This window comes from Homo sapiens, chromosome 11, assembly GCF_000001405.40.
Source record: "Homo sapiens chromosome 11, GRCh38.p14 Primary Assembly".
Taxonomy (NCBI): domain Eukaryota; kingdom Metazoa; phylum Chordata; class Mammalia; order Primates; family Hominidae; genus Homo; species Homo sapiens.
Window position 1 is genome coordinate 38,106,664 of NC_000011.10, and position 13,578 is coordinate 38,120,241.

The 13,578-nt window shown below is 41.0% G+C and overlaps 2 annotated features.

Annotated features, from left to right (window-relative positions):
* Nucleotides 4,013–5,212: an enhancer, noted in NCBI's record as "BRD4-independent group 4 enhancer chr11:38132226-38133425 (GRCh37/hg19 assembly coordinates)". NCBI's record gives its function as "activates an origin of replication core promoter dependent on BRD2, P300/CBP, MED14 and CDK7 cofactors, and independent of BRD4, by STARR-seq in HCT116 cells {active_cell/tissue: HCT116}" and the evidence as "EXISTENCE:reporter gene assay evidence [ECO:0000049][PMID:35650434]".
* Nucleotides 6,291–6,929: an enhancer, noted in NCBI's record as "OCT4-NANOG hESC enhancer chr11:38134504-38135142 (GRCh37/hg19 assembly coordinates)". NCBI's record gives its function as "activates a minimal SCP1, AML or CMV promoter by ChIP-STARR-seq in primed H9 embryonic stem cells {active_cell/tissue: H9 hESC(primed)}" and the evidence as "EXISTENCE:reporter gene assay evidence [ECO:0000049][PMID:30033119]".

Here is a 13,578-nt window from a genome sequence, read left to right on the forward strand (position 1 = left end):
AAAGAATTGTAGCCCTTGACTCTTGTTTTTTTTTTTTTCCTAGTAAGCCCTGTACTGTGGTTAGATTAAGAGTGCCACAGTGAAAACGACTTGGTCTTGCGACTTGATTTTGTCAATGCAAAATGAGAAAAAATGGCATATGCTATTTCTTAGAAGAGCCTTAAGAACCATCACATGCATCTGTTAGTGTTCTTTTTGTCTGCAGGACAAAAGCAATATCCTGCATACTCCTTCAGCTAATGTCTTAGAATAAAGAGTCAAAGCCACACATTTGATAAACCTGTAAACTAAGTGAAAAATAAGTTTGTGTTGATGTAAGCCACTAAGATTAGGATGCCATTTGTTGCCACAGCCGAACTTAGTTTTAAGCAGACTGATACAGCTTCTAAATGCTACTCTGTACAAAAATAATAATAATGCCTGCTTTTCTACTTCCCAGATCTGTGATTAGGACTTAATACAATAATTTAAGTACCAATGCATTATAAGCTCTAAAATACTATAAAATGGCAGGCAATCTCTTTATCGGTATATCTTATTTTATATTTTAATCATAGGACATCATCATGCAATTTGAACAACTAATTTAGAGTTTAAAAAGTTATGCAAGCAGACATATTAGACTTCACTAACCTTTTGAGTTATCACATCTGTGCTTACATTACCCATCTGTTAATGCACGTTGTTTACCATTTCCAGTGAGCCCTTAATATATTTATTACAATTATTTTTAATTCCCATTCAGATAATTCCAGCAACTGTGTCATATTTGTATATATTTCTACATCTTGCTTTTCTTTTCAGAAAATGTCTTGTTGTCTTGCCAGTTGGCATGCCTTATAATTTTTTCTTTTTTGAAAGCTGGACACATTGTATCAGGTAGTAGGAATTAAACTAAACAGGCCTTGCATGTGAGATTTATATTAATCTTACTAGAAGTTGAGCTGTATTCAAATGTTTATTGAAGCCATAGGTTCTAGAGGCTTCAAACTCCTTTAGCATTCTTGTTTGTGCTTCCACTATTGACTTTGAGTTTTCCAACACATTCCTCCAGAGAGTCTTGCAGTTCATTTAATTGTAATCCACTGTTGTTATACTGAAGCCCTGTTTGTGTCATGTTAAGGACAAAGGTCAGGAAACATTCTATAACCTCATGCTTATATCTTTGTTTTTAGTGGGCTTTCTCTTGGGATTGTGACTTCCAAACTGTTTCATCAGTGGTATAGCTACTTTTTCCTCCTCCACTGGTGAGACAGAATGGCTACAGAGGGCTGGGGTAGAACCAATGCCCTTTCCTCAGCTGGAATAAAGCTCTGATAAAATCTTTTGCCCTAGAGAGCAGGTCTTTGCTTATGGAGAAAGCTCTGAAAATATTTCACAAACATTAATCTTGCCTTCCCCTAACAGGGCTATAAAGGGATCAATCATGCTTTCATCTTAATCTGGAAAACCTGATAATGTTCCTGGAGATAAAGCCCATGGAAGGGTGGGGACCGGCTAACACTGTGGCCTCAGAATTTTCTCACTGTCAGGCTGGTTCACATTCAACCTCCAGCCATTAATTTAATTACCGCATCAGTATTTCTACCTGTTAATGGCTCCCTCAACTTCTGCTACAGTTTTGCAGATCTTGACTTTAACTCTTTGAATTTATCTACCAAGATTTCATGGTGGGGAGTTTTCCCTGCAACTTTAGTTCTCTAATGGGTCTAAGAAAAGTCATTGGTTTTCAGAGATTTTTGTATTTGTTTTCATCTTAATTTCTTGTATGGATGGGAAAGATGGCTTCTAAATACTTTTCATGTTGTACCTAAAATTGGAAGTCCGTCTCTAACCTTAGAAGTCATAAATTTTTCTCAGATGTTTTCAGTGGCCATTTAGAACCAATAAAAAGGTTTATTGTATTGTATTTTTTGCCTAATTATTAATTAATTACACACGCACACACACACACATGGTTACATTTATGCTTAGAAATAGACTTTTCTATACCATGTACATGTTATGAAACTATAAAACCAAGTTTAAAAAAACATAGCATCCAATTAGCAATCTTCATTATTCAGCTGGGGTTTATTACATATACTCTGTTCTACTTCCTTTCTGTTGAAGTAACTTATCAATAAAGGTAAGTTGAAGGTACTGTGATTGTTTTCAGAAATGTCTCTTCCCCTGACTCTTCTCTCTTTTTTCTTAGCCTACAATTAATTCAGTTCAGCAATAAAACATTGAGTTAATTTGTCACTCCCTTCAGGAATACAGCTTGTTCATGTCCTTGTTTCATTCCAATCTTATTGTCTCCGGGAAAACATCCTACCTTCTAGTAAATTAGTAAGAGTGAAATAAATATTCTGCTATTGATTTTTTTAAAAGCAGACAACTTTCACAAATATCTGAAGCATATGTGTAGAGCTTTTTATTTAATGTTGTCATTTTTATTGGAAATTAATATGGCTATATCACTTGGTTTTATGTAATTTCATCACCTTGGACTGTCTTGATAATAATAGGAACTGAAAAATGATACTTAAGATCTCAAATGATATAAAATAGTGTGCATTTCTTTGGCAGAGTTCTGCTTACTATAGAAGTCACTATATGTACATATGTGTATATTTAAAGCTAAATAACTTAAAATTAAAATAAAATTATTAACTCTCAGTCCTACTAGATATACCTCAAGTGTGTGTATATCTGCAGACAAACACACAAACACAAAATGTATAATATTATAATAACATCAAATATTTCATTTATGAATGGAGCATAATACTTTATACCCATAAGACAAAGTATTTTAAATAATATAGAAACTTCTAGCACTTTATACAAGACATTTCAACAAGGCCACCCACACACACACACACACACACACACACACACAAACACACATGCACAAAGATAAGATTCTGTGTAAGTACCTTGTTTCCGATTAATTTTTCTGGCTCAGTATTTAAGAAATTGTGTTAGTCCATTTTCACATTGCTATAAAGAACTACCTGATATGGTTTAGGTTTGTGTTCCCACCCAAATCTCATCTCAAATTGTAATCCCAACATGTCGAGGGAGGTACATAGTGGGAGGTGATTGGATCATCAGGGTGCTTTCTCCCATGCTGTTCTCATGGTAGTGAGGCAGTTCTCACCAGATCTGATGATTTTAAAAGTGGCAGTTTCCCCTGCATTCTCACTCTTTTCTGCTACCATGTAAAATGTGCCTTGCTTCCTCTTCACTTTCCACCATGATTGTAAGTTTCCTGAGGCCTGCCAAGCCACGTGAAACTGTGAGTCAATTAAATTTCTTTTCTTTATAAATTAGTCTCAGGGCAGTGTCTGTACAGCAGTGTCAGAATGGACTAATGCAGACAATTGGTACCAGGAATGCAGCACTACTATAAAGATAACCTGGAGATGTGGAACTTGGTAACACACAGAGATTGGAACAGTTTGGAGGGCTCAGAAGAAGACAGGAAGATGTGGGAAAGTTTGTAACTTCCTACAGACTTGTTTAATGGTTTTGAACAAAATGTTGATAGTGATATGGAAGTTCAGGCTGAGGTGGTCTCAGACAGAGATAAGAAACTTATTGGGAACTGGAGCATAGGTCACTCTTGCTATGCTTTAGCAAAGAGATTGGCAGCATTTTGCCTCTGCCTTAGAGATCTTTGGAAATTTGAACTTGAGAGAGCTGATTTAGGGTATCTGGCAGAAGAAATTTCTAAGCAGCAAAGCATTCAAGATGTGTCCTGCTTTTTCCTGAAAACATACAGTTATATGAGCTTACAAAGAGATGGATTGAAAGTGGAACTTATTTTTAAAGGGCAAGCAGAGCATAACAGTTTGGAAAATATTCAGCCTAACTATGTGGTAGAAAAGAAAAACCCATTTCCTGAGAGAGGAATTAAAGCCAGATGCATACATTTGCATAAATAATGAAAAGCCAAATGTTAATCAACCAGACAATGGGGAAAATGGCTCCAAGGCATTTCAGAGATCTTCAAGGCATCTTCTCATATCACAGGCCCAGAGGCCTAGAGGAGAAAAATTGTTTTGTGGGCCAGGCCCAGAGCTCAGCTGCTTTGTGTAGTCTCAGGACTGGGTGTCCTGCATCCCAGCAGCTCCAGCTCTAGCCATGGCTAAAAGGGGCAACATACAGCTCACGTTGATGCTTCAGAGGGTGCAAATCCTAAGCCTTGGCAACTTCCATGTAGTGTTGGGCCTGCAGGTGCACAGAAGGTAAGAGTTGAGCTTTGGGAGCCTCCACCTAAATTTCAGAGGATGTATATAAATGCCTAAATAAGCAGGCAGAAGTCTACTGCAGAGGCAAAGGCCTCATGGAAAACCTTTGCTAAGGTAATGCAGAGGGAAATGTAGGGTTCCAGCCCTGACAGAGGGCCCCCATAGTGAGAGGTGAAGCCAGCTGGCCTTCTGAGGCAGGTGGGGACTTCGAGAACTTTTCTGTCTAGCAAAAGGATTGTAAATGCACCAATCATCTCTCTGTGTTTAGCTAAAGGATTGTAAATGCACCAATCAGCACTCTGTAAAATGGACCAATCAGCACTCTGTAAAATGGACAAATCAGCACTCTGCAAAATGGACCAATCAGCACTCTGTAAAATGGACAAATCAGCACTCTGCAAAATGGACCAATCAGCAGGATGTGGGTGGGGCCAAATAACAGAATAAAAGCTGGCCACCTGAGCCAGCAGCAGCAACCTGCTTGGGTCCCTTTCCATGCTGTGGAAGCTTTGTTCTTTCGCTCTCCACAATAAATCTTGCTGCTGCTCACTCTTTGGGTCTGCACTACCTTTATGAGCTATAACACTCACTGAGAGGGTCTGCAGCTTCATTCCTGAAGTCAGTGAGACCACGAACCCACTGGAAGGAAGAAACTCCAGACATATCTGAAAATCGGAAGGAACAAACTCCAGACACACCATCTTTAAGAGCTGTAACACTCACCGTGAGGGTCTGCGGCTTCATTCTTGAAGTCAGTGAGACCAAGAACCAGTGTTTATACAAATGATAGAGCTGCTAAATGTAAAATTCCAGCCCTGGACCTTCTTATTAAGCATTACAGACATCTTTGGTTTTTTCCAGATTTCGGTTTGCTTGTATTTGTCTGGAAGTCACTCAACAGTATTGAATTTCGTTAACGTAGAGAAGAAACTCCAGACACATATTAACATCTGAAGGAACAAACTCCAGACACACCATCTTTAAGAGCTGTAACACTCACCACAAGCGTGCGTGGCTTCATTCTTGAAGTCAGCGAGACCAAGAACCCACCAGAAGGAATAAATTCTGGACACATTTTGGCAACCACGAAGGGACTATCACCTATTGCCAAGTGGTGAGTACCATTGGATCCCTTTCACTTGCTATTCTGTCTTATTTTTCCTTAGAATTCGGGGCTATATACCGGGCCCCTGTCAGCCAGTTAAAAGTGACTAGCATGGCTGCCGCACTAGACACAGGTGTCAGGTTTTCTGGGAAAGGGCTCTCTAACAACCCCTGACTCTTTGCATTTGGGAGTGTTGGTTTGCCTGGAACCAGGTTTTTCCTGTACTTCTGGGCTGAGCCGAGGGTCGACAGAGAGGAAAGCCATGCAGCTCCAGGGTCCTGACAACAAGTTGGTTCACCCTGCGGCCATGAGTGGAACTCTCAAAGTCATGTCGCCCAAGTGAGACTTGCCCATCTATCCTATCTATCCTGACCCTTGCCTCCTGGGTCCTAATGCTTGTCAGACAATCTTCCTCTCATTTCTCTTCTCCGAGAGTGCTTCCAAAAACCACTCCTTGTCTCTGGTGCTTTTCTAGTTACTCCTATAAGAATGATTTCTAGTGTAAACTTCAGGACTCTGCTCCCTTCTTTAGGCACCCGGGCTCACCAATCAGAAAGACATAATTTTTGCCTAAAGCCCCATCAGCAGGGGGACTATCTTATCTGGAATTTTAGGATCCCTCCTCAGACTAGCAGGCCTAACAAAAGCTATTCCTGAAGCTAGGATATGGGGAGCCTCAGGAATGTTATCCTTCCTACTTAAGAGAGGACAAAAGGCATCACTCTTCCAACCCTGGAGATCGCTTCTCTCACTCAGGGTATGGCCCTCTACTTAATTTTTGGGGCATAACATCTTTATAGGATGGGGTAAAGTCCCAATACTAACAGGAGAATGCTTAGGACTCTAACAGGTTTTCGAGAATGCATCGGTAAAGGCCACTAAATCCAATTTTTCTCGGTCCTTTTTGTGGTCTAGGAGGACAGGCAAGTGTGCAGGTTTTTGAGAATGCATCAGTAAGGGCCACTAAATCTGACCTTCCTTGGTCCTCCTTGTAGTCTAGGAGGAAAACTACTGTTTCTGCTGCTGCTTCAATGAGCGCAACTATTCTGATCAGCAGGGTCCAGGGACCACTGCAGGTTCTTGGGGAAGAGGTGTTTCTGCTGCTGTGTCAGTGAGTGCAACTATTCTGATCAGCAGGGTCTATGGACCATTGTGGGTTCTTGGGCGGGGAGTGGGGGAAACAAACAAACCAAAACCCCAGGTGGTTTTGTCTTTCAGATGGGAAACACTCAGACACCAACAGGCTCACCCTTGAAATGCATCCTAAGCCATTGGGACCAATTTGACCCGCAAACCCTGAAAAAGGGGCGGCTCCTTTTTTTCTGCACTTACGGCCCCAATATTCTGTCTCTGATGGGGAAAAATGGCCACCTGAGGGAAGTATAAATTACAATACTATCCTGCAGTTTGACCTTTTCTGTAAGAGGGAAGGCAAATGGAGTGAAATCCCTTATGTCCAAGGTTTCTTTTCATTGAAGGAGAATACACAACTATGCAAAGCTTGCAATTTACATCCCACAGGAGGACCTCTCAGCTTACCTCCATATCCTAGCCTCCCTATAGCTTCCCTTCCTATTAATGATAAGCCTACTCTAATCTCCCCCACCCAGAAGGAAACAAGCAAAGAAATCTCCAAAGGACCATAAAAACCCCCGGGCTATCGGTTATGTTCCCTTCAACCTATAGGGGGAGGGGAATTTGGCTCAACCCAGGTACATGTCCCCTTCTCCCTCTCTGATTCAAAGCAGATCAAGGCAGACCTGGGGAAGCTTTCAGATGATCCTGATAGGTGTATAGATATCCTACAGGGTCTAGGGCAAACCTTCTATCTCACTTGGAGAGATGTCATGCTATTGTTAGATCAAACCCTGGCCTTTAATGAAAAGAATGTGGCTTTAGTTGCAGCCTGAAAGTTTGGAGACACCTGGTATCTTAGTCAAGTAAATGATAGAATGACAGCTGAAGAAGGGGACAAATTCCCTACTGGTCAGCAAGCCGTCCCCATTATGGATCCCCACTGGGACCTCAATTCAGATCATGGGGACTGGAGTCGCAAACATCTGTTGACCTGTGTTCTAGAAGAACTAAGGAGAATTAGGAAAAAGACCATGAATTATTCAATGTTGTCCACCATGACTCAGGGAAAGGAAGATAATCCTTCTGCCTTCCTCGAGCAGTTATGGGAGGCCTTAAGAAAATATACTCCCTTGTCACCCGACTCACTTGAGGGTCAGTTGATCCAAAAAGACAAGTTTGTTACCCAATCAGCCACAGATATTGGGAGAAACTTCCAAAAGTGAGCCCTGGGCCCTGAACAAAATCTGGAGGCATTATTAAACCTGGAAACGTTAGTGTTTTGTAATAGGGACCAAGAGCAACAGGCCCAAATGGAAAAGTGAGATCAGAGAAAGGCTGCAGCCTTAGTCCTGGCCCTCAGACAAACAAACCTTGGTGGTTCAGAGAGGACAGAAAATGGAGCAGGCCAATCACCCAGTAGGGCTTGTTATCAGTGTGGTTTACAAGGACACTTTAAAAAAGATTGTCCAAGAAGAAACAAGCTGCCCCCTCACCCATGTCCACTATGCTGAGGCAATCACTGGAAGGTGCACTGCCCCAGAGGGCAAAGGTTGTCTGGGCCAGAAGCACCCAACCAGATGATCCAACAACAGGACTGAGGGTGCCTGGGGCAAGGACCCTCATCATCCTCATTGAGCCCCAGGTACATTTAACCATTGAGGGCCAGGAAATTGATTTCCTCCTGGACACTGGCATGGCTTTCTCAGTGTCAATCTCCTGTCCCAGAGAGCTGTCCTCAAGGTCTGTTACGATCTGAGGAATCCTGGGACAGCCTGTAACCAGGTATTTCTACCACCGCCTCAGTTGTAATTGGGAGACTTTGCTACAGATAGTAAGTATGCTTATCTAATCCTACATGCCCATGCTGCAATATAGAAAGAAAGGGAGTTCTTAACCTCTGAGGAACCCCTATTAAATGTCTTGAGGAAACCATGGAGTTATTGCATGCAGTGCAAAAACCCAAGGAGGTGGCAGTCTTACACTGCTGAAGCCATCAAAAGGGGAAGGAGAGGGGAGAAGAGCAGCATAAGCAGCTGGCAGAGGCGGCAGAAAGGAAAGAGAGAGACAGAAAGTCAGAGAAAGGGAGAGAGAGGAAGAAACAGAAAGACAAAGAGGAGACAGAGAGAGGAAGACACAGACAAAGAAGGAGTCAGAAAGAGCGACAAAGAAGAAGTCAAAGAGAAAGAAAGAGAGATGGAAGGAGTAAAGAAAAAACAGTGTACCCTATTCCTTTAAAAGCCAGGGTAAATTTAAAACCTGTAATTGATAATTGAAGGTCTTCTCTGTGACCCTGTAACACTCCAATACCACCTGTTGTCAGTGTAAACAAGGGCATAGCCTGAAAGCACTGAGGCCACTGACAACCCGTAGCCTTCCTATCAAAAATCCTTAACCCAGCCGGTTTCCTAACAGGGGATCTAAATCTTAATTACCATACAAAGATCTGACCAGACCTAGGAGGAACTCCCTTCAGGACAGGACGATAGATGGTTCCTCCTGGCAATTAAGGAAAAAAGACACAATGGGTATTGAGTAGGTGATAAGGAAACTCTTGTAGAAGCAGAGTTAGGAAAATTGCCTGATAATAGGTCTGCTCAAACTTGCAAGCTGTTTGCACTCAGCCAAACCTTAAAGTACTTACAGAATAAGGAAGGAGCCATCTATACCAATTCTAAGTTAATATGAACTGAGCAAGGTCTTATTAATAGCAAAGAATAATTAAAATCCCAAACGTACAAGGTTTTCAATGAAAGTAAAGTTTGCTAAAAGTTAACAGTATAACATGAATTATTCTAACTTCTAATCTTGAGGAAATCAGACCCTATCAGTAGCCCTCAAAGCTTAAGTCCATCAGCACAGAGCCGTATAACTAATACCCCTACTTATAGGGTTAGGAATGGCTACTGCTACAGGAACTGGAATAGCCAGTTTATCTACTTCATTATCCTACTACCACACACTCTCAAAGGATTTATCAGACTGTTTGCAAGAAATAACAAAATCTATCCTTACACTACAATCCCAAATAGACTCTTTGGCAGCAGTGACTGTCCAAAACTGCCAAGGCCTAAACCTCCCCACTGCTGAGAAAGGAGGACTCTGCACCTTCTTAGGGGAAGAGTGTTGTTTTTACACTAACCAGTCAGGGATAGTATGAGATGCTGCCCAGCATTTACAGGAAAAGGCTTCTGAAATCAGACGCCTTTCAAACTCTTATACCAATCTCTGGAGTTTGGCAACATGGCTTCTACCCTTTCTAGGTCCTGTGGCAGCCATCTTGCTATTACTCACCTTTGGGCCCTGTATTTTTAACCTCCTTGTCAAATTTCTTTCCTCTAGGATCAAGGCCAGTAAGCTACAGATGGTCTTACAAATGGAACCTCAAATGAGCTTAACTAACAACTTCTACTGAGGACCCCTGGACTGACCCACTGGCCCTTTCACTGGCCTAAAGAGTTCCCCTCTGGAGGACACTACAACTGCAGGGCCCCTTCATCATCCCTATCCAGCAGGAAGTAGCTAGAGTGGTCATCACCCAATTCCCAACAGCAGTTGGGGTGTCCTGTTTAGAGGGGGGATTGAAAGGTGAAGCCAGCTGGGCTTCTATGTCGGGTGGAGACTTGGAGAACTTTTCTGTCTAGCTAAAGGATTGTAAATGCATCAATCATTGCTCTGTGTCTAGCTAAAGGATTGTAAATGCACCAATCAGCACTATGTAAAAACGCACCAATCAGCACTATGTAAAATGGACCAATCAGCACTCTTAAAATGGACCAATCAGCAATCTTTAAAATGGACCAACCAGTAGGATGTGGGTGGAGCCAAATAAGGGAATAAAGGCTGGCCACCCAAGCCAGCAGCGGCAACCCACTCGGGTCCCCTTCCATGCTGTGGAAGCTTTGTTCCTTCGCTCTTCACAATAAATCTTGCTGCTGCTCACTCTTTGGGTCCGCACTACCTTTATGAGCTGTAACACTCATCGCAAGGGTCTGCGGCTTCATTCCTGAAGTCAGCGAGACCACAAACCCACTGGAAGGAAGAAACTCCAGACACATCTGAACATCAGAAGGAACAAACTCCGGACACACCATCTTTAAGAGCTGTAACACTCACTGCGAGGGTCCGCGGCTTCATTCTTGAAGTCAGCGAGACCAAGAACCAATGTTTATACAAAAGATAGAGCTTCTAAATGTAAAATTTCAGCCCTGGATCTTCTTATTAAGCATTACAGACATCTTTAGTTTTTTTCCAGAGATTTTGTTTTGCTTGTATTTGTCGAAGTCACTCAACAGTATTGAATTTCATTAATGCAGAGAAGAAACTCCAGATGCATCTTAACATCTGACAGAACAAACTCTGTACACACCATCTTTAAGAACTGTAACACTCACCACAAGCGTCTGTGGCTTCATTCTTGAAGTCAGCAAGACCAAGAATCCACCAGAAGGAATAAATTCCAGACACACTAGGGCACTGCCTAGTGAAGCTGTGAGAAGAGCTTCTCCAGACCCCAGAAAGGTAGATCCACTGACAGCACCATGCACCTGGAGAAGCTGCATGCACTCAATGCCAACCTCTGAAAGCAGCTGGGAGGGGGGCTGTACCCTGCAAAGCCATAGGAATGGAGTTGCCCAAGGCCATGTGAGCCCACCTCTTGCATCAGCGTGACCTAGATGTGAGACATGGAGTTAAAGATCATTTTGGAGCTTTAAGATTTAATCTCAAAATTTAACGCTGGTTTCAGACTTGTGTGGGGAATGTGGCCCCTTTGTTTTGGCCAATTTCTCCCATTTGGGATGGGAACATTTACCCAATGCCTGTATCCCCATTGTATCTTCAAAGTAACTCACTTGCTCAGGCTCACAGGCAGAAGGAACTTGCTTTGTCTCAGATGAGACTATGGACTTTGACTTTTGGGTTGATGCTGGAATGAGTTAAGTTTTGGGGGACTGTTGAGAAGGCATGATTGGTTTTGAAATGTGAAAAGAACGTGAGATTTGGGAGGCGCCAGGGCAGAATGATACGGTTTGGCTTTGTGTCCCAACCACATCTTATATCAAGTTTTAATCCCCACGTGTTGAGGGAGGGACATGGTGGGAGGTGATTGGATCATGGAGGCTTTTCCTCCCATGCTGTTCTCATGATAGTGAGAAAGTTCTCATGAGATCTGATGGTTTTAAAAGTGGCAGTTTCCTTTACACTCTCCCTCTCTCCTGCCACCATGTACATAAGACAAGCCTTGATTCCCATTGACATTCTGCCATGACTGTAAGTTTCCTGAGGCCTACCCAGCCACACAGAACTGTAAGTCAATTAAACCTCTTCTTTATAAATTACCCAGTCTCCGGGAGTATCTTTATAGCAGTGTGAGAACAAACTAATACACTACCTGAGACTGGGTAATTTATGAAGAAAAGAGGTTTAAACCATCAGATCTCATAAAAACTCACTGTCATGAGAACAGCATGTGGGAAACCTACCTTCATGATCCAACAACTTCCCACTAGGTCCCTCCCCTGACATGTGGGGATTACAATTCAACATGAGATTTGGGTGGGGGCATAGAGCAAAACCATATTAGAAATCTTGCCTAATATTTTAATCATTACACACATCTAACACTTTGCCTCTGGTTTCTGAGGCACACAGTCAGTATAAGGTATACTTCTTTGAAACTCAGGTGTAATTAAAATTTTCTACTATCAATAATAAAGTATAATTCTATCTTTTCACTTTACTGATTAAAATTGAGACTTAAAAGTGAATTTAAAATCACTATTAAACTTCTTTCATAAAGTAAAAGAAAATTTAGAATTATATTGAAATTATAACATCTTTACCAACAATTAACTGGTGTGATATTTAGCTAAATATACAAGTTCAAACAGAACATGAATAGAGTAAAATTAACTCAAAAATATGAATAAAAAGGAAGAATATGCAAATCTTGTGATGATATAATTTATTATTAAAATAATGTTAGATGAATTTAGCAAGTACAATTTATTCAAACTTGTGAAAAAGTTAGTGAGGTTAACAGTAAATCTTTAGACCAGGCATGGTGGCACACACCTGTAATCCCAGCACTTAGGGAGGCTGAGGCAGGTGGATTGCTTGTGCTTAAGAGTTTGAGACCAGCCTGGGCAATATGGTGAAACCCCATCTCTACTAAAAATACAAAAATTAGCCTTGCATGGTGGCACACATCTATAGTCCCAGCTACTTGGGAGGCTCAGGTGGGAGGATTGCTTGAAACTGGGAGGTCAAGGCTACGGTGAGCTGAGACTGCACCACTGCACTCCAGCCTGGGTGAAATAACAAAACTCTGTCTCAAAAAAATACCATATCTTTAAAAACATTGCTTAAATCAAAACAATGATAAATAAATACAAAAAGGCATAAGATGAAGTTTTCATATGTATAGATAAGAACTAAACAATCATAAATGAAAATCAAGTAAATAAAATCAGGAAAAAAAATATTGTAAAGTAATATTAGCAGAACCAGGGCCTTAGAAAATCAAATTGAAAACAATAAAATGATGGGAAATGAATAACAAGGGTAATTGAATTCAAGATAACAGGAAATAAAAGAAGACAATTATAATTGGACACACAATGACAAGTGCTTGCTTCAAAAATGATATGACTTGGATTTGAGATGATGAAAATGTAAACCATAATGACCAAAATGAAGTGAAAGATAATATAAAATGATGTTGTAGTATCATAAGTGAATGGAAATAATATGCACTAAGATCAAGACACAGAAATGAAATAATTTGGGCAATGGACCAATGCAGGAGGCTGCACAAAAAAGGCTGGAATAGGTTTGAGCAAAATGAAGAAGGATGAATCCATATTGAAGTAACATAAATGGATCATATATCCTAAGAATTAAATCTATATATGATATGGCATATCTAAATAATGAGAAATAAGATGCCAAAACTTTAAGTGCCTGATGCCAATAAAAGCAGAATAAATACTGTTTAAACCATAGTAAACAATTCTCTCAGTTACATTGTTAAATATAAGATGTGATTAACCAAACAGGAAAACAAAACATTCTAGCTAAAACTATATTTGGTGACGTACTCAAAACTTCAAAGCCTCGTATGACTTAAATATAGTAAATTGCATGGGGAAAATATGAGTC